General features: G+C 37.8%; 1 protein-coding gene across 2 annotated transcripts; it reads right to left on the bottom strand.

Moving 5' to 3' along the window:
• Nucleotides 1-3,255: 3,255 nt before the first annotated feature.
• AMY1A (amylase alpha 1A) lies at nucleotides 3,256-12,291 on the bottom strand. 2 transcript variants are annotated; one of them, NM_004038.4, is made up of 11 exons: nucleotides 11,882-12,050; nucleotides 11,312-11,525; nucleotides 10,820-10,966; nucleotides 9,819-10,016; nucleotides 9,140-9,370; nucleotides 8,267-8,400; nucleotides 7,328-7,450; nucleotides 7,134-7,233; nucleotides 5,035-5,153; nucleotides 4,799-4,924; nucleotides 3,256-3,479 (listed from the first exon to the last, which is right to left on the bottom strand). In NM_004038.4, the coding sequence occupies exons 2-11, from the start codon at nucleotides 11,477-11,479 to the stop codon at nucleotides 3,290-3,292; spliced, it is 1,536 nt and encodes a 511-aa protein (NP_004029.2). In that variant the 5' UTR covers nucleotides 11,480-11,525; nucleotides 11,882-12,050; the 3' UTR covers nucleotides 3,256-3,289. The 2 variants fall into 2 exon arrangements, with proteins under 2 accessions (NP_004029.2, NP_001008222.1); NM_001008221.1 differs by lacking the exon at nucleotides 11,882-12,050 and adding an exon at nucleotides 12,124-12,291 and having other exon boundaries at nucleotides 3,259-3,479.
• Between the last annotated feature and the right edge of the window lie 15,175 nt (nucleotides 12,292-27,466).

The following is a 27,466-nucleotide window of genomic DNA, read 5'->3' as shown; positions in this document are numbered from 1 at the left end:
TTCTGCATAGAGTCTTGTTGGCCCTTTGCCAAAAACCTCTAATACCCAGATTTCTTCCACTTTTGTGTTCCTCTGTCAGCAAGCAGACTCTATGCCCCATTTGTAGGGAAAAAAACTCCGCATTCAACAGTTGGGAGGAAGCCACCCTTGAGAGACAAATTCTAGCCTCAGTGCTGTTCCCATCAGAAGGAGGACAGCCATTAAATCCATATGTTCTTTTGAGGCACCTGTTCTGCTTCCAACAACATTGGCATTTAATCAGAAAGGGGATTTTGTGTTTAAAAGGCAATGGGTAAAATTTTCTGGGAATGCACTGCTTTTCCAGGGCCATAGCTAGAGGAAGCAGGAATAGGGTTAAAACACTCCCTCTGTTAAAGTGTCTCACCCAACTTTATCTACTGTACAATCTCCTGGGAGGCCTAGGAACCCAGAAGGGCAGTGAGATGAGGCATTGTGCTGGTAAGCATGACTACCCCTGCCAACTAGCACCTCCAGATACATGGGTGCAATTCATGCTTGCATCCATGGGCTGCACCTATGATGGTTGCCAGGACCCAAAGGAGATGGGAGGAAAGAGAAGAGGGACACCCCTGTAATCTTTCTCTTCAACCTGGGTCACTTCAAAAGTTGAAAGGAGACTAAGGGACACCTTCTACTCCCCTCTTTTTATGCATGGGTAACACCCCATCTTCAAGCCTGCATTCCCCTTGAGTTATTCTTTAGACTTCAGAGCCTGAAGTTCGCTCTGGGCAAGTGCCAACTTCTCTCATGTATAGAGGCCTTCCAGGATATAACCCAAGTATTTAAACTCTCCTAGAAGGATGTTATGTTACTCTGAAACCCTAACTGCTGTTGAGAGACAGGCAGCCCTACAGGTAGCAGAAAAAATCAGAGATGAGCAGCATGTTTCCTATAGCCAGTCAAAAAGGGAAAGAGGGTGAGAAACAGGCAGAATCCCCATTCCCAGTAGGAAAAGAGGCAGTATCCCTTGAAAACTCTAATTGGAACTCTACTAAGCCCATAGATGATTGAAAAATAGAAACACTTTCAGATGTATACGGTAGAAGTCTTACAGGGGACCAGAGCCAAACCTGTTAACTACTCTAAGCTATCCATGATAGATCAAAACCCAGATGAAAATCCCTCAGCCTTTTTATAAAGGCTGAGAGAGACTTTGGCAAAACATGCTTCCCTATCTCGTAATTCAATTGAGGGACAGCTCATCTTGAAAGACAGGTTTACTCAAGCAGCTCCTGATATTTGAAGGAAGCTACAGAAACAGGCTATAGGACTAGAAGGCACCTTAGAAAACCTTCTAAGAGTAGCCACCTCAGTCTTTCATAAGACGTACTAGGAGGAGGCTCAGGAAAAGGAGAGAAAATAGAAGAAAAAGTCAGACAGAGGGTACCTTGGAATGGAATCCAGGCCTGAGACTCCTTGAGCTCACTGTTCAAGACACCCTCATAAACTGGTCAGTAACAAACTTTGCTGCATGTCTCCGACTTGTTTTATGTCCTTAAGCATAACCTGTAACCATGTGGTAGTACCACTTTTCAGCCGTTGCCTTTTTACAATGGTGACCCAGGTTCAATCCCAGCCTGGGTGATGAATACTTTCCAGTTAACAACTGTGTGACGTTTAATCATCTCGTGCTCCGCCATGAAAAACTCTAACTGCCTTTCTGAAATCTTCCTTTCTCTCAACTGACTTTAAAGGTTCTAGATCTGGTAAAAGCTGCTTACCACCACTTATAAAATATCTTGTATACTAACGGTGAACTTATAACCTAACGGAGAGTTTTTAGTTTCCCCTGTGATGTTACCTTTGGTAAAATTCAAAAGCCAGAAATATTACCTGCTTGATTTAGCTAAAGTCAGGAAACAGAAGATGTCAAAGGATTTTCTGAAAGGGTGCTGAGCTTGATTAAAAGTGGATATTCAAGTTATAGGTATATTTAAAAGACCTGCATGTTTTTGTCTTCTTGGATCGTGTTTTTCTTGAAAAGAACTTTTCCATTGACTGAATTACTGTTCTCCACTCTGTCTTTCCACTCTTAATGCACACAAGATAACTTCTGGTGGCCTGAAACGTTTTGGGAAAAACAGAAAATGCATGATGGATTCCATTTTGGGAGAAACCTCTGTTTTCCTCATGGAATCCCAGAATCTAGAGGCTGATCAATCCTGCTCAAAATCTGTTTTTGTCTTACAGCTATACAAGTTGATTAGGCCCTAGAAACTTCGTGGTTTGCTATCCCTGTTCTTAAAGGGCTCTACTGGGAAGCCAGTAATGCAATTAGGAAATGGGACGAGAAGAAATCTTAGAGCTACTGGATCTTCTTCTGTTTGTCTGTGTAGCAATATATGTGTTGTGTGTGATGTCTGTAACGAGGACCAATTGATTGCCTTAAATAAAAATAAGCACTTAAATCAAATATTTTAGAGGAAAGTTAAAACCGTAATGCCTTTTAGTTTATGTGTTTTTAAACTCTAAGAAATAAAAACTGTTTTAAAGATCAAATTGGAAAATGCAAATATCATCAATATGTAAATAGCAGGTTTAAATCACATAAATTAGATAAAAGGCTTGCTAAATATTTCAAGGTTGTAGGCTGCCTACTTTACAACTTGGTAAGGCCTGGGGACATATGAAATTAACCATGCCCTAACTAGAATGGAAAAAGTCAGACTTTATCTGCATCTAGTACATAATTAAAACAACTTACCAGGTTTACATTAAAGTTAAAAATTGCTAAGATTGACCATAAAAATATGTAAATAAGACAACTAAAAATAAATTTACATGCAAGGTGTGTAGGAACACTTAAATGTGTTTGTGGTAAAAGATTATAAAAAGGCATAAAAATGTAAATGTTGCCTATGGAAAAAGGATTCTTTTGAAACCTATGTAAGGGTAAAATTTGGCTTTCCTTCCCTTGTACAGATTTTTCATGTAATAGAGAAGAATAATGAAATATTTGGTTTGCCTTGTTGGTAGAATGCCAAGGAGAGAAAAGAGTAGACAGGAGACAAACTGTTTGGAAAGCTAAGTCTTACCTCTTAATGAGTAAAGATTGTTGCCTAGTTTTAAAATTTTTGAGTCATCCTTTTGCCAAAATAAATAACTTATGTGTAACCTGGAATTGTATTTCATACTATCAAGTGTCTTAAACCTCTTTTTACTAATTAGAGCTTTTATTTAAAATTAATGATATGTAACTATTACTGTATATGTAAGAAAAGAAACACACTTAGCTATTGCTTTGCGGATTTGCATTTAATTTTAAATTTTACAATTTAGATTCAGCATGAATTGCAATAAATGGATCTTCAGCAGAGTTACTAATAGAAAAATGAGCTTTGCCATCATCAGAAACGTAGATTTTAATGCCTGTGCAGTTGCCATTAATTTTATCTCCAGAAATGACATCACAGTATGTGCCAGCAGGAAGACCAGTTTGCAAAGTTAAAGAAAATGTCCTGTAAAATAAAATTTCAGATTTAACTTCAAAACAATGAAATCAAGAATACAGACTAACACAAATAAACAGCATAACTTTATGTTTTAGAACCCTAAGCAGTGAAGTCTCATTAAGAAGAAAACCCATATGCCTCCCTAGTAGGTGTAAACAGCTTTCTAGGACCAAAAGTAACCTTACAGAAAACCTACCAATTTCCTTTTCAGTAGTGAAAATATAACCGAAAAATCAAAGTTGAAGAATATCACCGAAGATTGGCGGGAGCGGTCACATTTTGATAAAGTGCTACCTTGGTAAAATCAAATTTTTTCTCAACTGAACTTAATGCCAATTACTTTAAAAATTTAAAGGGTATTATTTTTTTAACCTTCTTTTATTCTACATGAGGTCAAAAAGAATTTAGGGTGTACATAAAAACAGTCTAGCATTTGTATGAGGAAGTGATAGTTTGAAATATAAAGCTTTTTCACAAAAGATTTTTTTGGTATTTTCATCCACAAAAGAAGGAAACTAAGGAAATAGACACGCATTTTTTTGGCAGGAAAGAGATCAACTTGACTTATATATTTTTGTATTTATTTATTTTTCATAAGTGAAGTATAATTTATACTAGAGTGAGCTAAGTATGAGTGTCAGTTGGCCTTGGACAGAGACAATTCAACTGTTTGCAAGGAGGTCTTCTCAGCTACAGTTTCGGGAATCATTTATACTACAGCCAAAGGATACAAAAATCACAGATGAAAGGCCAATAATGAGAAGTTTCAGAACTAAAACTCAAGTCTCCTGAAGCAAATCATTAACCACAAGATACATATTATTTATCCATATGCTTTAAAAATGTTATTTGTCACAAGGAGACAGAGAAGTGAAGAAAGTATACCAAAAAACTAGGTAGAGCTGTCATTGAGAAAAAGAGAAATAAAGATATTTTAGTACTGAGGCAGCATTTTTCCATGATTAAAAGAGCAGGACTATAAGAAACGTTCTTTTAATGATTTCACAATCCTTCTATTAATTACTTTGTGTATTTTGTGGCATGTGTAGGTAAGCATATGAATGTGCATTCTATATATGCATAAGATATTGCAAGGGTGCACAGAAAGGATTCTGCTTACAACAGAAAGCACTTATGAAAACAGGAGAACGAAGGAGTAACAGCCATCATCCTTTTGCTTCTACCCAATTTTGATCTCTATTGTCTTCTCGCTCCACTGACTACATGATTTTTCAGATATGATAAATGTCAATGAACAGAAAAAAAAAAGAATAAACCAAGAACATACTGGTACAAAATATTATTTTTAATTGATATTTACTTACCAGTCATCATTGTTGAAAACAATGAATCCTCTGTTTCCTCTCCCAAAAGCCACTTGGTTGCTCCCATTATCATACCAGTTTGTAAAAGGCTGGCCATCCACTACATTGCGGAAATTAACCATGTTCCTAAAAACACAATACCATATAAAACGTTGATATTCTTAAACTTCAACTGTTTTAAATAAAGTGCTACGGAAATTTACTATTAGAGGACATGTCTAAATACATATTCTCACCTTATTTGGCGCCATCGATGTTCACAGACCCAGTCATTGCCACAAGTAGTGTCTGGATTAATAGTAACTTCTTTAGTTACTCCATTATCATTTGGTGGCCCAACCCAATCATTAACATCCTTAATTACAGGAGGAAAAGCCAAATTTTAGCATATATATATTTATCTCTTCCTTCTCCTTTAAACCAAACCCAACCTATCCTGTTACTTGTGTCTCTGCATTCAGTGACTTTATCTAGAATCCAATGCCTTCATTGATTTTTATAGCCCTTTACTGGGTCTTCATCATCTCTCTATCCTCTGGTTCTCTTTTGCCATATTTCAAACAAAGGTAGCAAATTGTTATCCTCTCCTTTTCATTCCAAGGCACTGCAAAGACTTCTTTGCTCTGTCACCCAGGCTGGAGTACAGTGGCATGATCGTAGCTCACTGCAGCCTTGATCTCCGAGGCTCAAGCGAACCTCCCATCTCAGCCTCCCAAGTAGCTAAGACTGTTGGTGTGCACCACCGCACCCAGCTAATTTTTTTTTTTTTTTAATTTTCAGTAGAGGCAAGGTCTTGCTAGCTTGCCCAGATAGGTCTTGAACTCCTCAGGTCAGCTGACCTTCTCAGCTGGCCGCACACAGTGCTGGGATTATAGGTGTGAGCCACTGCACCTGGCCTGCAAGGGCTTCTTAACATCACTGTAAGCCATGCAATGGCATTGAAATGGGAAGGGCATTAGTACTAGAAACACCAGGATTAAAACATAGGCTCTATTACTAGTAGCTGAGAAAATTTAATCAATATAAATAATTTCTCTGTGTCTCAGTTTCCTCATTTGTAAAATGAGAATAATGAGTTCTTTTGCTATAAAAATTAAGTAATATATGTGAAAATGCCTTGAACATGACATATGCTAAATAAATATTGGAGGCCGTCATGCTTCTTTTTAGATAAATGTACAAAATACTACATCTGAACATTTTTTTTTTATAAATTGACCATATTTTTAGTATTATGCTTTTCTGATTGGCACTTTAAGAAATCTTCATTAAAAAACACAGAGTAACCCTAGGAAGTTTATCAGTGTTCACCTTAAAATCACGTCATATGGTGAAAAGTGAACAAAACTTAAGAGTTTATAGCATGCAGCAGTCCTGTCAAAGTGGGAATGTTATAGTAATAGAAAAAATAAAAGAACTCTCTGACTCCTAACAACAGAAATAAGACCAATTAGTAGAAATTATAAGAAGTTGTCTCAATATAAAAGTACACCTTCTAAATATTAAAGCTGTTTAACAATAGAATCAGTTGTTATACATAGTAGCGGACTTCTCAAACTGAAAGGAATCTAAAAAAAGCTAGCTAGATATCTGTGTGACTCATAGGAAGGAGGAATTTCTGCTTTAGTTCTGAAGTCTCTGATGCTGTTTCTCAACCCTTTAGTTTAAAAGAAAACCTTCTACTAGCTTTCCAAATATCTTTACACTCTTATTTCTCTGTTCCTTTTTGAAACTACTCAGCAGAGTGATGTCTTTACCATACTCCCAAATATTTTTCTCATTCTTACCTTTCTTGGAATACTCTCTATAAATTTCTATCCTTTAGTACATACAATTTCCTTCCTCTTATAGTATACTTTCCCTATTTAACTCAGCTGAACTGGATCATTTGTTTCTATTCCATATAACTTTTTAACAGTATTTAAAAGACATTTATATTGTTCTCACTACGGGCAGATGATGTTTTAAGTTCTCTACAAGGGTTGGCATCTATATTCTTCCAATTAAACCTGAGGAAGGTACGAAGTATATATTTTAATCCCTGTGCCTAGCTCTTATTTTTAAGTGGTTTTTTTAATTTTTATTTTTATTTTCCCTGCGGGCTAGGGGGATGTTTGTCATATCTCTGAAAAAGCTTGCTATTCTTTTTCAATGGAGAATATAAAGTTTATTCCTTTAATATAACCTGCATTACTAAATCACAATCCTGTATCAGGTTTACAATAATTAAATATTTGTTGAATAAATAAACACTTAATAGTTGTCATATTAAATTAGGAGAAGATTGCCTCTTTTTTCTTGAGAAAAGGATATTTTGAACAACTCCAAAACTTACTTTTCCATTTTCAAAATATCTTGGCCAACGGTAGCTTGACATTACTCGTGTAAATCCATAAGGATGAGCAAGCATAAATCCAACTGCCATTTTGTACAGCCTGAAAGTTACATAATTATATTATCATAGAATATCACAATATTCATACCATCATTAAAAGAGGTGTTAAAAAAATAGAGAACTTGGTTTTTTACCTAGCATCCCAGAAGGTAAGTATAGAGGCTCCTCCAGCGCCATGTCCTCGTTGATTGTCATGGTTATCCACAAAGACAAGCGCTCTGTCAGAAGGCATGAAACCCCAACCTTCTCCCCAGTTCCTATTTTTGAAACATAAGATATACGTTGATGTATCATTTCACAATAGTTTGAGAGTAACTCTACTGTGCATCTCTTTCTGTAAGGCATGGCATCTGAAGATTAAATTCTTTCTCTAATTAGATGGTTACTCTGTAAGATATATATATATACACACACACACACAAACACACACTCACATATATATACACACACACCTCATAAACAAACACACGTGTGTAATCTACATATATATAGTCCATATTTGTATATACATGTATGGAATACTTATATTCATATTACAAATATAAAATGTTTGTTATTAAAAAATTTCCTTTCAGAGGTTTCAGCACATTATCATTTAGAGGCACTCCAGAAGGATCAATATCCACATCACATTATACAGAATGTCAAACTAGATTAAAATAAGGCTTTAATATTGTATTGTTATAATATAAATCATTTTACATTTCCAATTCGTATAAGTAAATACAATAGCATGGACACTTTGTACATACTTTATAAATGATAGGATCATTTTAATAATAACCTGGCTTTAAAAGATTATATGCAAACATCAGTCAAATCCAGTATATTCATCTTGTACGCAGACAGAAACTCCTAGGGTAAGTTTAGCGTTCCTAGGCATACTGTCTTGTGACAGACACTCTAAATACAAAAGATGATTGATTAGAGTTTAGGGCACTAGAATACTTATCATTAACAACTGACTCCTTAATAGTTGTCTGAATAAGAATGTTCCAGAAGATAACTCGCACTGGGGTAGTATGACTAACAGATCTATGAAATAGTTCAGGGGAAAAGTTGTATTTATTTACTTTAAGTAAGACATCTTCTCTCCATTCCACTTGCGAATAACTGTGCCGAGTTTTGCACCATACTTGAATTCTGTCACCCGGCCATTACCAAAGTAGTCACTGCTTTTAATTGGCTCACCACCCAGATCAATTACCTAGAAGAAATTTAGGAAAAAAAAACATTTTGCATAAGGACTTTAAAGCATTTTAACCGATAAGTTTATATTATATAAAAATTAGCTTTCAGCTATTTCTGAGTTATTTTAGACTTGTTGTGCTTTGTTCTTTAGAGACAGGGTCTTGCTATATCGTCCAGGATGGTCCCAAACTCCAGGCCTCAAGGAATTCTCCTGCCTCAGCCTCCCAAAGTGCTGAGTTACATGCAAGAGCCACCACGCCTGGTCCTATTTGTTATATGAAACGCTCAAAATCGTTTTCTTATTCTTATTATCTTCATCGGTAATATTCTTATATTCTTTTTTTGATAAAGTATACACTACAATATTGAAAGAAACATAATGTCAAAGTTACCTGTTGTCCTGTGAGAATACTTACCTAATTTTTAGTCTTGTACATCAATGATAATAATAACAGCTCACAGGAATACGATATTTACTATCTGACTGACTTTTTTTGATAAATATTAACTCATTTCATTTTCCAAAGAAAATAAAGACATAACTATTATCAGTATCCTACATTCTGTGTACCTCCATAAAACCTGTTGTGATAAAGAATTAGATATGCTGTATGTGAAGAAGAGGAGGTTAAAGAACACTGTTTTAAGGAAATGACTCAGTCTTTATCCTACAGAAATTGCATTTTTAATTGAATCTGCCGTGAATTTTCTAATGAATAGGATGATATTTTATATGCCTATATGTATTGACGTACCTCCTGGTAAATGAAAGGTTTACTACCTTCCGGGAACCAGTTACTGTTTAGATTATGCAGTTTGTCCAAAATTGCCTTTATGTCTCCAGGCCACATGTGCTTGGAAGCATCAATTCTGAACCCTGCAACACCAATGTCAATGAGATGGTTCATATATTCGGCAATCTTAGAACGCACATAATCCTTCCCCAGTGCAAGATCGAGAAGACCAGACAGACGACAATCTCTGACCTGTTGAGGTAAGAATGTTATGATTGATTAATAAAACCTCACTTTTCGCCTGAGAATCCATTTGATTATTCATTTATTCCATGATTCCTCAAGAGATATTCTATGGTGACTTCCTTGCATTGGACACTGGGGATGCTCACATTCTACTATAGATGTATCTTGGAAATATTTTCTAATAGAAAATAGAGAACTTAGGAAATAAAGTCGATGAGTTTTTCAATTGGTTGGGAGCTTTTTAAAAGTGGACAAATGTGTATTGATTAAAAATCTTAAATCAATATTTAAAGGTTTTCAAATATGGATTTGAGTTTCTTAAAGTAGTCAAACTTGTTAACCTCTGTCCCTAAGAGATCTAAATTCATATTTACAACGAAGTTCAATTAGCTACATGTCTACAACAAAAGGCATATATCACTCCTTATTCAGATCACTCTCGTAAAAAAATTACCTGAGTAGCATCATTATAGTTCTCGATATCTCCACTTCCAGTTTTACATTTACCATCATTAAAATCCCATCCAGAATATGGGACTGCTGGAAAGTCCCTACTTCCAGGGTTGAAGTAACTTCCACAGGTACTGCTTGTTCCTGCACTCACAGCATTACCACACATATGATTAATTACAGCATCCACATAAATACGAACCTAGAAAACAAAGTTTCTAATTCAGTGTGACTTACAGAGAGGCAGAAATTTAAAGAATTATTGATTAAATTTATAGTGTGCTAATAAAATTCCAAAATATTTCATACCTTATAACTATTTTCCTACAAGATCAAAAATCAACTGTGAAAGGAAAGTAATGTGAACTAAACACCTACATTCATTCCAGACACTTGGCCAAATATATATAGGAATGATAAACTGAGAGAACCGGAAACTACCATAAATAGGAGGAAAGGCAAAAAGCCCATTTTGGGGAGACACAACTCAGATGAGACTGAAAAGGTTACTATTTGGGAAATTTCAGTGGGTCACCAGGAGAAAGCCTGTACTCTCTACTAAGCTTGGAAGACAAATAAGGTAGCTATTCATCTCAAATTCTGCTCCTCATTAAATAGATAAGCTACCTATTCACCACAAAAAAAACCCAAGAATTAGGAATGGAGACACAAGTCATCTAAAAATGAGAGCAAATATTGTAACTGGAATTAAAATTCCTCACCAGAAAATCCTTCCAGGAAATATGGATAGTTATAGCGGTTAAAATTTGATGTTTTGCTTCAGAAGTAAACTCTGCTATAAACTTTAACTTATCTCTTTAGTAGAGAGCACATATACAAATATTTTCAAAAATTGAACATAAGGTGACAGTTACTTTTGAGTTTTAAAGTATGAAGTAAAATTAAAACTGATATGGAAAACTTTCTGCTCAAAAGGAGCAAGAAAGAAGAGACAGAAATCATTTTCCTATCTGTTATTTTTAAAGGAAACTAGAATTCACTTACCCCAACATTGTTGCATCTAGTCACCATGTTTCTAAATTCATCTTCATTTCCAGATCTTGTGCATAATTTATAGCTAACTGGTTGGTATCTTTCCCACCAAGGTCTGAAAGGGTTGTGAATGGCAACATTTTCATTTGGTGGAGAGACCTACAAATTAAACAGTCTTCATAAGTACCAAATTCTGTCTTACTGTATATCATTGAATGTTCTAGAATCTAATCAATAATACAAAAGATTCTTGAATCTTGGTATAGGCAGCTATCTCTTGAAAATATTAACAGCACATCGGAGGGCTCTTGTTGAAGAAAGATTATATCAGAAACAAAATATACAGTTGCAAAGAATACTACATTGTTTTTTCCTCAGAAAATTCTTTTACTTAGAATACTTACCTGTGAAGTAAAATGTTGCCCAAGCTTCACGTAGAAGATCAGAATAGTGTTTACTACAAGCACAGTGAATTCTGCAATTGATACTATGAATCATACCCACCTGAACCCCTCCAAATCCCTTGGGAGCTAAATATCGCTCACATTCAAGAGCAATATCAACCCATCGCCATTCAAACAGATGAACAATAGATGTTCGTCCTTGTTGTGTATTTGAGGAATACTGAGCCCAGCAGAACCCAATGGTGAAAAGCAACCAAAAGAGCTTCATTTTGCTTTGAAGTTGTCAGTGTCCTTTCCAGAAACTATTTATATTCCTGTAAGAAGCACATTTTACAATGTAAATAGTAGCATGAATAAATACTTGAGGGCAAACTGTTTATTCATAATCTGAAAAGGATTATCAATAATAATCCTAACTGGTGAAGAACATCAAAAAGTCTCTCATGGAAATCATCTCAATGACCTCTTAGACATTAATGTTTCTTTTCTTTTCTTTTTTTTTTTTTTTTGCATATGGTAGCACTTTTATTTTTCCTTACACAATGACATGTTGCTGTGGCCTAATGTTCTCACATAACAGCAGAAAACCAAAATTTGTTGTCAACTCTTAAAAGATCGAGAATTGCATACTAAAAAACTTTACATAAATTAAAAGGATGAATACATTTACCGGTATAAATGCGAACCGCTTCCAACTCAAGGCAAGTAACAGCCCACGGTGCTCTGGTAGATAACGTAAGCTAAGAAAGGAAACTGGGTCCTATGGCTTGGACTTTCCAACCCTGACAGACCGACAAGACGGAAACAACTGGTTCAGGAGCCCTTCCCAGCCTCTAGATAAATCTCAGAACACTCAGCCCTGACACATTAATACCCTGCACGGATCAGAGACTGCTGACCACACAGACTCACCAAGCCAGACTTGTCTTCCACAAGCACGTTTTTAGCCATGAAGTGACCAAGCCACGTGTACTAAACACTGACATCAAAGGTATGTACAGATACCAAGGGGAAGAGTTAACTTGAATGCCAGGCCAAAATCAGCAACAAGTTCTACAATCCAGTGCTGATATTGAGAAGAGAGAAAGACCCTGTCCTCTTGTTTTATATTGTTTTCTATTCAGTAAAAACAACAAGGAAGCAAAATCAAAGGCACAAAACCAGGCCTGGGCCTGGTTGGCCTAAACCCAGTAGTTACAAATCAACTTATGATTTAGAAGCCGATGTTATTCATAGATTCCAGACATTGTATAGAAGAACATTGTGAAACTCCCTTCCATATTCTGTTTCTCCCTGACCACGGGTGCATGTAGTCCTTGTCGCATATCCCTGGCTTGTTCAAATCAATCACGACCCTTTCATGTGACATCTTTAGTGTTGTGTGCCCTTAAAAGGGACAGAAATTGTGCACTTGGGGAGCTCGGATTTTGAGACAGTAGCTATCCGATGCTCCCAGGTGAATAACACCCTTCCTTCTACAACTCGGTGTCTGAGAGTTTTGTCTGCCGCTTGTCCTGCTACATTTCTTGGTTCCCTGACCTGGAAGCAAGATAACTGATGGACGGCCGAGGCAGCTCCTTAGGCAGATTAGGCATGCCTTGTGGAGTAAGGCCGGGGCATCCCTCAGGCTGCCAGGGACTCTGGCCAGCCTGAGGGATGGGATCCAAAGAGCGCTCCCAGGTAGGAAATGGCCCCGGTTGAACGCCTCGCCAGAGCAGTGATCCCCGCGGAGGATTAACACAGTGGCTGAACACCAGGAAGGAACTGGCACTTGGAGTCCAGACATCTGAAACTTAGTAAGACAAGTCTTTTCAACTTGCCCCACTCCACCTGAGCGGAAGCTTGGCCTGATCGCTCATGGTGTGCCTGCACCCATATCAATTTCCATATAGAGATTCCTAGTTACAGCTAGTTTTAGATCCTCTACAGTGGTAAAAGGACAGGCAGCAGCAGTAGTAGTAGCAAAGGGACATTTATTTCAGGAAAGTTCTCGCTCCACCGGCCAAGAGAAGCCAGCACCTAAAGTTCTGTTTGACCCAGAGCTCGAGGACTCAAGGCAGGAGATGGCACCAACAGTGCCCTCAACCCCTTATCCAGTGGGGAGGCCCCCTTCTCCTGAGCCCACAGCCCCTAGACCACCCAGAGTAGACAAGAACAAAAGTGAAACTGCGGGAAAATCCACTTCCCTGGCAGCCCGCTTAACGGCCCAAGACGGGAATTCAAATGCCCTGAGAGAGCAGCGATATACTAGGACAGATGAGGTCAGACATACGGTAGAAAGGCATGCTTTTGTGTATCACCCTTTTACCTCTGCTGAACTACTCAACTGGAAAAATAACACTCCATCTTACACTGAAAAGCCTCAAGCCCTAATTGACTTGCTTCAAAGAATTATCCAGACTCAGAATCCTACTTAGGCTGATTGCCACCAGCTACTCATGTACCTCTTTAAAACACATAAAAGGCAACAGGTGCTGCAGGCAACAGTTAAATGGCTGGAGGAGCACATCCCAGCCAATTATCAAAGTCCCCAAGAATACATAAGAATTCAGCTGCCAGGAACGGACCCTCAATAGGATCCAAATGAAGGACCAGATATGGAAAGGCTAAGAGGGTACCGAGAGGCATTAATTGAAAGGTTGAAAAAAGGGGCTCAAAAGGGTACCAATGTAAATAAAGTTTCTGAAGTCATCCAAGGAAAGGAGGAAAGCCCAGCCCAGTTCTATCAAAGACCGTGTGAGGCCTATTGCATGTACACTCCTTTCGATCTGGAGAGTCCTGAAAATCAGCCGTTGATTAATACGGCCTTAGTTATTCAGAGTGCAGAAGATATCCAGAGAAAATTGCAAAAACAGGCTAGGTTTGCAGGAATGAAAACCTTGCAGTTACTGGAAAGAGCTAATGAAGTATTTGTAAATAGAGATGCAACAAGCGGCCAAGAAAGCCGTAAGGAGGGCGAACGCCAGGCCAGGTGAAACGCTAGTTTGCTGGCTGTGACAATTAGAGGAATTCTCCTGAAAAGGCAGAAAAAAGGGGGTTCTGGGAGGAATGCCCTGTCCAATCACTCACATTTGCAGCATGACTAATGTGCCTACTGTAAAGAAATAGGACATTAGAAAGATAAATGTCCCCAACTCAAAGAAAATCAGAGTGATGCAGAGCCAAAGACCTCAAACCAAGATGAAAGGATTTTGTTCAATCTAGCTGAGGGGCTGCTAGAATTAAGGGGAACAGGCTCAAATGCCCCCAAGGAGCCCATGGTCAGGATGACAATAAGGGGCAAGGACATTAAGTTTTTAGTGGATACAAGAGCCGAACACTCAGTAGTAAGCACTCCAGTGGCCCCCTCATCTATAAAGACCATTGATAGAATTAGAGCAACAGGAGTCTCTACCAAGCAGGACTTCTGTCTACCGCGCAACTGCTCAGTGGGAGGACACAAAGTGATTTATCCATTTCTGTATATGTCTGACTGTCCCTTGCCTTTGTTGAGAAGAGACTTGCTTAGCAAGTTAAGAGCCACCATTTCCTTGACAAAACAAGGCACTTTACAGCTGGAGTTGCCAGAAACAGGAGTCATCATGGCCCTTCCAGTCCCCCAGGAAGAAGAGTGGAGACTTTTGCTAACTGAGCCAGCTCAGGAAATAAAAGTGGCTCCAGCTGAGTGACGGCTCTGAGTAGAGATGGAGGACAATCCTCTGAGGCTGGCAATCAATCAAGCCCCCGTACTCATAGAAGTTTAGCCTACGACCTAGCCAATTGGACAAAAGCCGTATCCTGTTCCCAGGGAAGCCTTTAAAGGAATAGAGACTCATCTTATATGCTTAAAAGCCTCTGGAATTCTAGTTCCTTGCCAGTCTCCATGGAACACCCACCTCCTACCTGTCCCTAAACCAAGGACCAAAGACTATCGACCCGTACAGGACTTGAAAGATGCCTTCTTCACATCAGGCTAGTTCCTGAGAGCCAAAAGCTGTTTGCCTTTCAGTAGGAAGATCCGGAGTCAGATGTCACCATTCAGTACACTTAGACTCGACTTTCCCAAAGGTTCAAAAAGTCCCCCACCATCTTTGGGGAGGCCTCGGTTGGAGACCTCCAAATGTTTCCTGCTAAAGACCTAGGTTGCATCCTGCTCCAGTATGTAGATGACCTTCTGCTAGGACACTCCATGGCAGTCAGGTGTGCAAAAAGGACGGGTGCCCTGCTTCGACACCTGGAGGACTGTGGATATAAAGTGCCCAAAAAGAAAGCTCAGATCTGCAGACAGCAGGTACACTACCTAGGATTCACTATTTGAAAAGGGGAGTGCAGTCTATGGTCAGCAAGAAAGCAGGTCATCTGCAGCTTACCAGAACCTAAAACCAGGAGGCAAATAAGAGAACATTTAGGAGCTGTGAGATTTTTGCAGACTGCAGATTCCAAACTTTGTGGTGTTAGCCAAAGCATTGAATGGAGTTATAAAGGGGGTGACCGAGAGCCTTTTAAATAGAGGTCTCTACAACAACAAGACTTATAAGTTAAAAGAAAAACTTATGTCAGCCCAAGCTGACTCTAATGTAACTCTAAGGAACACCAAAAGACACCATTGGCTAACAAATGCTACATTAACTAAACACCAAAGCTTGTTATGTGAAAATCAATGTATAACCATAGAAGTCTGTAATTCTTTAAATCCTGCCACTTTGCTCCCAGTATCAGACAGCCCTGTTAAACATAACTGTGTAGAGGTGTTGGACTATGTCTATTCTAGCAGACCAGATCTTTGAGACCAGCCATAGGCATTGGTAGATTAGGAGTTCTACATGGACAGAAGCAGCTTCATCAACCCGCAAAGAGAAAGGTGTGCAGGATATGCAGTAGTAAACTTAGATGATGTTGTTGAAGCTAAGCCATTGCCTCAGAGCACTTCAGCCCAAAAAGCAGAACTCATTCCTCTAACTCGGGCTCTGGAACTCAGTGAACCTAAGATTGTAAACATCTATACTGATTCTTGATATGCCTTTCTAACCCTTCAAGTATGTGGAGCATTGTATAAGGAAAAAATTCTAGAGGAAAAGACATAAAATGTCAGCAAGAAATTCTACAATGATTAGAAGCAGTGTAGAAACCCCAAAAGGTGGCATTCATGCATTGCAGGGGATATCAGCGAGTTTCCGCTTCGGTTTGCCAAGGAAAGCCCTGAGCAGACACAGAGGCAGGAAAAGCAGCATCTACTCCTTACCAGACATCAGTCACAGCCCTGCTACTCCTTCAAATGCTTGATCTGGTGCCAACTTATTCTAAAGAGGAAAAAGAATTTTTTCAGACAGAGAGAGGACAAACAATAAAGGAAAGATACATAAAGTTACCAGATGGAAGAATAGCAGTGCCACCGCTGCTATACAGTCATGCTGACTGTATGTGAAACTACCCATTGAGGCCAAGAATCACTTGAAAAGCTGTTAGGCCAGTATTTCTACATCTCACCCTTGCCAGCTGTTGCTACAACAGTAGCGCAGTGATGCCTTACCTGTGGACAGCACAATGCGAAGCAAGGCCCCTCTGTACCTCGGGGAATAGAAGCCTCTGGAGCAGCTCATTTTGAAGATCTTCAAGTGGACTTCACAGAAATGCCTAAATGTAGAAGTAACAAGTATTTACTGGTTCTAGTGTTTACTTACTCTAAGTAGGTGGAGGCTTATCCAACATGAACTGAAAAAGCTCCTGAAGTAACCTGTGTACTTCTTCAAAATTTCATCCCTAGGTTTGGACTGCCTCTACGAATTGGCTCAAATAATAGGCCAGCATTTGTTGCTGACTTGATACAGAAGACGGCAAAGGTATTAAGAATTTCATAGAAGTTACATGCCGTTTACCAACCTTAGAGTTCCGGAAAGTGCAGCAAATGAATCGAACTATCAGAAAAAGTTTCTGGAAAGTATGTCAAGAAACAAATTTAAAATAGACACAAGTCCTTCCTATAGTATTGTTTAAAATTAAGTGTACCCCTTCTAAGAGAACAGCATACTCCCCCTTTGAAATTCTGTATCATAGGCCTCCTCCCATACTGGGAGGGCTTCCAGGTACTCCCCAAGAGTTAGGTGAGATTGCATTACAGCGGCAGCTACAGGCCTTAGGGAAAATTACTCAGACTATCTCAACTTGAGTAAATGAGAGGTGCCCAGGCAGCTGATTCTCCCCAGTTCACCCTTTTTCTCCAGGTGACATTGTGTGGATCAAGGACTGGAACGTGGCTCCGCTGTGGCCACAGTGGAAAGGACCCCAGACAATTAACCTGACCACTCCCACAGCTGTCAATGTAGAAGGAATCCCAGCCTAGATTCACCACAGCCTCATGAAGCCTGCAGCCGCTGAGACCTAGGAGGCCAAACCAAACTTGGACAATCCCTGAAAAGTGACCTTGAAGAAAATGACAAGCCCTGCTCCAATCACACCACGAAGCTGACTAGACTACACATGGCCAAAGCATGAGGAAAATCGTCGTAGGACTTATTGTCCTTATAACATGGACCTGTGTGGTAAAAGCTTCCACTACCTCTTCCCACACAGAGGACTGCCTTCAGTGCATACATCAGGACACTGAAGAAGGACAAGTTAAGATGATCGTTTTATTTTACAGCTATTATGAATGCCTAAGAACTCCAAACAGAACCTGTTTGTATAATAACACCCAGTACTAAGTATGTAATCCAGGAAGTGACCAGCCCGATGTGTGCTATGACCCCTCTAAACCCCCATGATCACAGTCTTCGAAGTAAGACTAAGAACTGGTCCTTCTCTAAGTAACACAAGTAAAGTGATAGCTAGAACAGAAGAAAGAAGAGTCCCCACAAATGTAACTTTAAAATTTGATGCTCGTGCCACTATTAATACTAAACAGCAGAGGATAAGATGCATTTCTCTAAATTTGGGAAAAATTACACACAGAAAATAAGTACATCTGTCAAGAACCATATTTATGTTCGATGTGTCAATAGTGGTATTGCGTCAGTTAGGCTACTTAGAAGAAAGATAAAAAAGATCCTGTTTGGCTCCAAAAAAGAAAAGTCAGCCCCTCTTGCACAAGTGGGAGCTGCAACCCTTTAAAATTGATCATCACAAACCCCTCAGATCCAAAGTGGAATAAAAGAAAATATATAACATTAGGCATTGATAGAAAAGGACTAGATTCTAGTGTAAGCATCCTGATAAAAGAAGAAGTTCAAAAACGCTCACCAGGACAAGTATTTCACACTTTCTATGATGAATTCAATGTGCCTATACCTGAAATTTCTGAAAAAAACTAAAAATTTGTTTTTGCAATTAGCCAAACATGTAGCCCAGTCTCTACAAGTCATTTCATGTGATGTTTGTGGAAGGACTGTAACAGGAGATCAATGGCCATAAGAAGCCCAAGAATTAGTTCCTACAGATGGAGTTCCTCACGAATTCCATCCCAAAAGAACAACCCCGACAATTTTTAGTTTCTAAAAGTCACAATTATTAGACAGTAATGCGTAGCTAGAGAAAGAAAAGGATTTACTCATCCCGTAAGGCGGCTTATTTGTCTTAGGCAAAACCTGTATAATGGTGCCACAAAAACAGTTACATGGTACAGTTCCAATTACACAGAAAGAAATGCATTCAGCAAATTTCCAAAGTTGCAGACTGTTTAGGCCCATCCAGAATTCCACCAGGACTGGACGGCCCCCACTAGGTTATGCTAGATATGTAGACACAAAGCTTATGCTAAGCTGCCTGACCAGTGGGCGTGTGGCTGTGTAATTGGCACCATGAAGCCATCTTTCTTCTTACTGCCCATAAAAACAGTTGAACTTGTAGGCTTCCCAGTCTATGCTTCCCAGGCAAAATGAAGCATAGCCATAAGTGGTTAGAAAGATGATGAATGCACCCCTGAAAGAATCATACAATACTATGGACCCGCCACTTAAGTACAAGATGGCTCATGAGGATATCCAACCCCTATCTACATGCTCATATGGTTACAAGCTGCTTTAGAAATTATTACTAATAAAACCCAACAAGCCTTGACTGTTCTTGCCTGGCGAGAGAATCTGACGAAACATGTTGCCTACACATAGATGATAAAGAACAAGTAGTTGAGCATATACTTAAGGATATAACAAAACTGGCACATGTACTCGTGCAAGGCTGGCACAGACTCAATCCAGGAGCCATGTTTAGAAAGTAGTTCCCAGCAATAGGAGGATTTAAAACTCTTATAATAGAGGTAATAATAGTAATAGGAACCTGCTTACTGCTCCCTTGTCTGATACCTGTGTTTCTCCAAATCATAAAAAACTTCGTCTCTCCCTTATTTCACCAAAAGCCTTCAGCACAAGCATACAATATAAATGGCTATCAATCTATTGCACAGAAGAACATAAATCATAAAAGTGACAGCTCCCACTAATAAAAATGAGTGAAAGTCTCAAAGAAAGAAAATGAGAGAGGAGAAAGACCCTCTCCTCTTGTTTTACATTGTTTTCTATTCAGTAAAAACAACAAGGAAATAAAACCAAAGACAGGCAGCCCGGCGCCAGGCCCAAAAACAGACCTGGGCCTGGTTGGCCTAAACCCAGTAGTTGAACATCCACTTATGATTTAGAAGCCGATGTGATTCACAGATTCCAGATATTGTGTAGAAGAACATTGTGAAACTCTCTTCCATATTCTGTTTCTCCCTGACCACCGGGGCAAGTAGTCCTTGTCATGTATACCTCGCTTGCTCAAATCAATCACAAAGCTTTCATGTGAAATCTTTAGTGTTGTGAGCCCTTAAAAAGGACAGAAATTGTGCACTCCAGGAGCTCAGATTTAGAGACAGTAGCTGGCTAATGCTCCCAGCTGAATAAAGCCCTTCCTTCTACAACTCAGTGTCTGAGAGGTTTTTTCTGCGGCTCGTCCTGCTACAATGTCAGATACAAGCTTCAAGGACAACTTCTTTCCCAAGGCTTATTCCAGTTTTGTGAGGCTAGCATGAGGTGTATTTTTTAATTTACCTGACCAAATGCACATAGGGAAAACACATTCTTTTTTGAATTGTTTATATAGAATCAGAAGTTGAGTCTTTTAAAGGATTGAAATAAAACAGAAAATTCTAACTGGACTAAGATCATATGTATGCACTTGTTCATATGAATATTTGCAAATATTTTGTTTTTATAAGAAGTGTTATAATGAACATCTGTATACATGTTTACACATGGGTAATTCTGTATGCTAGATAAACGTATGTGAAACTGGAAGCATATTTTTAAATTTTCATATTATGCAAAATTGCCCTTACAAATGTATCAAAGTTTACTCTCTAGTAGCATTCTGTTATAGTACCTTTTGCCACACTCCCACCAAAAATGAATATTATCATAGCTCTAATTTTTGCCTAATAGATTAAAAATGATTTGGGCCAGACACGGTGGCTCACAGCTGTAATCCCAGAACATTGGGAAGTTGAGGCAGGCAGATCACGAGGTCAGGAGATGGAGACCATCCTGGCTAACATGGTGAAACCCTGTCTCTACGAAAAACACAAAAAATTAACCAGGCATGGTGGCGGGCCCCTGTAGTCCCAGCTACTTTGGAGGCTGAGGCAGGAGAATGGTGGTGTGAACTTGGGAGGCAGAGCTTGCAGTGAGCCCAGATCGCCCCAATGCACTCCAGTGTTGGCGACAGAGGGTGACTCCCTCTCAAAAAAAAAAAAAAAAAAAAAAAGAGATTTGTGTTTTTCCCAATTACTAGCAAGGCTGAACATCATTTCACACTTTTTGGCCTTTTGAGTTTTCTCTTGAAATTTGCTTCTTCCTTTTCCCATCTAGTTTTGCTTTAATTGTTATGTTCTTTCTTATTGAATGTTTTGAGTTCTTATGTTGTTATCATTTGTCATGTATTGGAAATATACTGTCCTAATATATCACTGTTTTTTGAAGTCTTTCCAGTGCAAATTTAAGCAATCATGGATGTTGGTAAGAATTAGGACAGTGCCAAAGGTATGCCTGCATTATTATTTTTTGTCCAACTACACTCATGCATTCCTTAATGACAGGAGTATGTTCTGAAGACAAAGCCCTTAGGTAATTAAGCCACTGTGCAAATATCACAGAATGGACTTCATTAACCTAGATTGCATAGCCTATTCCTCCTAGGCTACAAACCTGTAAAGCATGTTATTTTACTGAATACTATAGGCAACTGTAAAGCAGTGTAGCTGTGTATCTCAATACATTTAAACATAGGAAACTTCCAATAAATGTATGGCATAATAAACTTAACTATACCACCATCATATATGCGGTGCATGACTGTACTCACCATGCAAAAGGTTTTAAGTTTTAAAGTGATTATTTGTTTAACTACAGTGGTTCCTTGTGCCTCCATATCCATGAGGAATTGGTTCCAGGACCCACCATGGATACTTAAAGCAATAACTACTCGAGTCCTTTATATAAAATGTAGTATTTCCATATAACCTTTACATCATCTCAGATTACTTATAATGACTAATGCAACGTAAATGCTATGTCAAAAGTTGCGATACTATGTTGTTTTGCAATCGGGAAGTCCCCAAAATAACACTCTTTCTGCTTACATTTCACAGCCAAAGCAAATCACTTGGACCTTCTGAAAATCAGCAGGATGGGAGTATTCATTTGCAAGGAGGATCACTAATATTTCTGAACAATAGTACACTGCATATGTGAGAGTGGAAATAAAAATTCTAACAGGAAAAGTAAAAGAATTTTCATTGGAGTGAACATTTGAAAAACAAGAAATGTGAGTTTAAATATATATTTTTAAGAAAAATACAATATATACAGAGCTTCTCACACTCAACCTCAATCTCTTACACCTCAACCTTTCCTTCAATAGCAAGACATTCAATTTCTTGCAAGTTTATATGATCATTTCTATGCGTGTTTTTGTGACTTACTTCATCTAATGTACCCATAAATAACACATAATGGTGTTTTATGTAGTTACCTTTTCCTAAGCTTTGAAAAGTTTCTCAAAATTGCTCTCATCTTAAATTTTGGATATTCAAAGATTCTGGTATATAAATTCCATATTAAGTGCTATTTTATAATTTACAGAAAAATAAAATAAAATTTCTTATGTAAAATACCTTTTTTTGGATGTTACTCCATCACCCAGGCTGGAATGCAATGGCGCAATCTCAGCTCACTGCAATCTCCCCTTCTGGGTCAAAACAATTCTCCTGCCTCAGCCTCCCAAGCAGCTGGGAGCACAGGCACGCGACACCAAGTCCAGCAAATATTTTTGTATTTTTAGTAGAGACGGGGTCTCACCGTGTTGGCCAGGCTTGTCTCTAACCCCTGACCACAGGTTGATTTGCCTGTGTTGGCCTCCCAAAGTACTGGCGTTACAGAAATGAGCCACTGTGCCTGGCCTCTTTTTTTCCTTTCTAATTGATACCATTTAAATGGATATAACCACCTCAAATCTTTATATATTAGTCACAGTTGTTCTAGACTTATTTGATTTCCTAGCTTTTTCTTCATTGCTTTGACCTCGTTCATGTTGGGTACAGGGTATATCTTTCCTGAAGTTTTTCAATGTTTTGTGTGTGTGTGTGTGTGTGTGTGTGTCTGTGTGTGTGTGAGATTTCCTGTTAGCTTTTATGTGGACACTCTATATAACGTTTGTTTTCAGAAAACATAGGGTGGGATATTTCACAGCTTACACACTTAGGATGAGAAGTCTCTATTCCTCTTGAAGACCATCAGTTCTACCTCTTAGGTGTCTGACAGAGGGGGTTAGCTCACATATCTACTGAATAATCCCACTGAGCTCACTATTTTTTAGTATGCATTACTAAAGATAATTGAACCTAATAAAGTATCTTACAATTGACACATGAAAGAACTTTCCATTACTCACAAAAGGAAGTGCTGTCTTCTCACAGAGTAGTAAACATAAAATAATGACTACAAGCACTCAGCACAGCTCTTGTTGAGATTTCAAAATTCATTTAGATAATCCTTTCAGTCTCCTAGGTTCTCAATTCCTTTAACTCATCTCCTTCCATCACTTTGCCTCTATGCTACCCCCATCTTCACATCCTAAAACTTATACTCACAAGATAGTATATACTTAGCACTATGCTACTATACTTAGTATACTATACTTAGTACTATTATATACTATTATCCTCTAATACTTCCAATTTCAATCAACCCACTCTTATCTAAATCTCCCAAATTTCTAGTTCCTACCTCGAGAACTCCATTGCATCGTCAACCACACTGCAATCTACAATTGATGATACCATTTTCCACTGTCTCAACCTTCTTTATTTTCTCACTTCACTCCTTAACCCAGATTACTTTCCATATCCCTCTTTTATAATCATTCTCCTAAATGTATGAACATCTCATCACTGACTGTTTTATTCACCTAGAGAAATCTCACCTTTAGTTAAACTGAATTCTGTACTTATTCAGTGATAGCGCCTCTGCTGAACTGAACTGGAAAAGAACACGAAACCACATTGACTAATACCACTTAAATAAACCACAGATTGCCAAGAGTTTGTTTACTTTTGTACATTCCTAGCTATTCATTTTACATCTCTTTTTCCTTCCTTAATCCTTCGTGATTTCTTCCCTTTTTATGAGCTTGCTTCCTATTTCACTGAGAAAATATCACAAAAATTTGACATGCTCCTCCTATCTACTGAACTACAAACATCTGGACCTCCATAATCTGACGTACATCCTACTGTTAGTAATTAGCTGTTTGTGTGCCTATCTTTAAAACCAAGCCTTCTATTTTTTTACCAGGTCTATGTCTTCATCAATATCCCTCTGTTTCCTGCATTATGCTTTTTCTGTCTACTGAATCAGTCCCATTAGCATAGAAACCTGCTATATCATCGATCTTAAAATAAACAGCTTTTTGATGCTATATTACCCTCCATTAACAACCCATTTCTCACATCCCCTTGAAAGCAAGACTCCTTAAGTGTTGTCTTCAATACTCACTATATTAAATTCCTCTCCAACATTCTCTTGAGTACCTCCTCTTACTCCTGATATCCACCAAGTTGGTCAACGTCAATGTCCCAAAGGTTGCTCTACCCAGTGCTTAATCCAAAAACTCATCTTTCCTAACTCATCAACACAGCTAAAATATTTGATCACTCCTTCCTATTTGAGATACTTTCTTCATTTAGCTTCTAGCTATTCCTCCTTAGTCTTCTTTAATAGTTCTTGAACTATTTTATATCTCACCATTGGGATGCTCCAGGGTTCATTTCTCCATGCCTCTAATTCCTGTCTCTAATGTTCTTACTCTCCCTGCCTCACGATGCTGTAAAAGGTAGGAAGCTATGATCCACAACAGCATTTTTACACAAGACTTGAGTCTTTTTGGGCAGTGCCTCTAAGGTAAAGGTGTAATCACAGACCCAGGAACGTACCTATAGGAATGAATCGAATAAAAAGAAGAATGTTTTCCTACGTATATACAGCTGGAACTAATTTCACTAAAGGAAAAGAATAATTTTATGTGGGAAATATTTTCACCTTTGAGTGATGTTCTGACAGATGAAAGATCTGGGAGAACAAAAATGGTAGACTGTATTACGGCAAGGATACAAATTTCTAAATTGGGATAAATCCCCCACTTCCAAAAAACTAAAACCCAATAAAACTCGAAGCCAGACAAATATAAAATAATTACAAAAAGCAAGATTACAATTTAAAAAATGTGAAACTGCATTCATATCCAGGCAAGAACTTTTAAAAGGCAGTTTTTGTAATCATAAATAAAATATATTATAAAATTGCCTTAAAAAGAATTTGATGTAATCATCTAGTTATGTTCTCCTACATGTGTTAAACCAGGTAAAGAAAAAATACAAACACCATTCCATTGGAAAGAAAACAATTTATTGTATTTGAGGAAAGTCATTAAAATACATGTAATATATTTCCAATTCACTGATTTAAAGGCATACAGATTTAATTTTTAAATACACTTTCAAAGCTGTTACGCACAGTTCCATAGTCCGGGTGGTCAATTTCTTCTTCTCAAAGTTGGAAAGCACTTGAAGGACACGGGATTCAAAAGAAACCTAAAACATCATAAAAGCCAATTAGAAATAATAAGTATAACACAGCTCTTTAGTTTAAAAATAACTGAGAGCTGAACCATTTATATTTAGAAAATTAGTGAATCATGTCAGTATAACAAAATTTATCTAAATAAATGACTTATAAAGAAACTGATTTATAATATATACAAACTCATTTTAACTATGCCTGTAGAAAAATAATTGCATTTTCAATATCTATAGGTTTTGTACTTTTAAGGTGATAATAACCGAATTTTGAATTTGTTTTCATAGAACTAAGAATAGCAGCAGATTTTTCAGCAAAGAAACACAGAGGCTCCAACCCTTTATTTTCCTAGTTGTTAATATAAGGTTAGATGGCTAGGTTGATACTAGGTACCTAACCATTTTACTCTAACAAACCAGTATCCAAACTGCTCAGTCCTTAGAATAACTAAGGACACCTTTTCAAATCCGAGTCTTATACTCCATTCCCAGAGATTCATATGTATTAGTTCTAGGATAGAGTATAGGAATCTTTATGCATAAAAACTCTTCCTTGGTGGTTCCCGACCTTGGTTGCACATCAAAATCAGTTTGAGAGGTTTATTCCAACTTCTGTGCTACACTCTCAACACATCAAATGAAAATTCTGAATAAGGGAACCAGGCATCAACATATTTCTTAAGGATTTTTTGAGGAGGGAGAGGGTCTCACTCTGTCACCCAGGCTGGAACGCAGTGGTGTGATCACGGCTCACTGCAATCTAAACCTCGGGGGCTCAAGTAATCCTCTTGCCTTAGTCTCCCAAGTAGCTGAGACCAGAGGTGCAAGCTATTTATTACTAGCTATGTATCCAAAGGAAAATAAATGAGTATATCAAAGAGTTAACCACACTCTCATATTTATTGCACTATTCACAATAGCAAAGATATGAAATCAACCTGTGTCCATCAATGGATGAATGAATAAAAGCAACGTGGTATATATACAAGCAGTGGAAGAGTTTTTGTCCATAAAAAAGAATGAAATTTTATCATTTACAGCAAGACGGTTGGAACTGGAAGTCATTGTGTTAGGTGAAATAAGCCAGGCACAGAAAGACAAGCATCACATGTTCTTATTCTAAGAATAGAACGTGAAAGCTAAAAATATTGATCTCATGGAGGTAGAGAATAGAATAATACATAGATACCAGAGGCTGGAAAGAGTTTCTGTGGGTGGGAGGAATAAAGAAAAGTTTGTTAATGGGTCCAAACATACAGTTACTTGGAAGACATAAGTTCTAATATTTCATAGCAGAGTAAGGTGACTACATATAAACAGCAATGTATTGTATTTTCCAAAATAGCTAAAGGACTTGAAACTTTCTTAACATATGGAAATAATACTTGAGGTTATGGACACCCCGGATACTTTGAATTGATCATTGTAAAGTCCAGGCAGGTAACAAAATATTACATATACACTATGTGTAGGTACAAATATATTAATGAAAAAATAATCCTCCTCTACAATAAAATTTTATTATTGTTAATCTGACTAATTGAGAATTCATGATGATTTGGAGATTATTTGGCAAAATGTTGCCTGTGCAAAGCAAGCTTTTCTTCCTACATTGTGCAAATTATTAAAGTAATATAAATATGTATATAACTTCAAAAAGTGATTTTCAATATATTGTTCTACAGCACTCAAGCTTTTAATGTCACTGCTATTATGTTTTACAATAATAGGTAATAATTTAGCCCTCCCTGTAAATTAAGGTCTCTTTAGCCTGTTTATTTTTTTCAACAAACTTACAGACTGGATGTTTAGGTCCCAAAAATTTAAATAACTTGTCTCTCATTACTTATCAAATATATTGTATTTCTGAGATCTGACTCCAGACTCTATCTGTGGTTTTAGACTAGTACTCCAATGCTAATCTCATTTTAATCCACTGCAGGAGAACTATGTACTCTCTCTCTGGAAACTTTTAGCACAGCTTTTTATATGATTTTCTGAAATATAACAATAAAATTTCTATCAACAGTTTATTTTTTATCTATGCATATTCTTAAGCTCATAATTTTCATTATCCTATTTTCCCTAAAATTTATTCGAACTCATTTTAATTAGATTTTTAGTTTTATGGTGGTATAATTCACAAGTTAAAATTATATATATTCAATGTGTACA

Source organism: Homo sapiens, chromosome 1, assembly GCF_000001405.40.
Source record: "Homo sapiens chromosome 1, GRCh38.p14 Primary Assembly".
In the NCBI taxonomy this organism is placed as follows: Eukaryota; Metazoa; Chordata; class Mammalia; order Primates; family Hominidae; genus Homo; species Homo sapiens.
Note: the sequence above shows the minus strand (reverse complement) of the source record. Positions and strands in the feature narration are given on the sequence as shown.

Excerpts from the sequence above, each read along its gene's own strand:
- AMY1A (NM_001008221.1), bottom strand. The coding sequence starts at position 11,479 with ATGAAGCTCTTTTGGTTGCTTTTCACCATTGGGTTCTGCTGGGCTCAG. Across the intron at positions 10,017-10,819 it reads CTAGATGCAACAATGTTGGG|GTTCGTATTTATGTGGATGC; the intron begins GTAAGTGAATTC and ends TTTGTTTTCTAG. Across the intron at positions 7,234-7,327 it reads CTTACCTTCTGGGATGCTAG|GCTGTACAAAATGGCAGTTG; the intron begins GTAAAAAACCAA and ends TGTAACTTTCAG.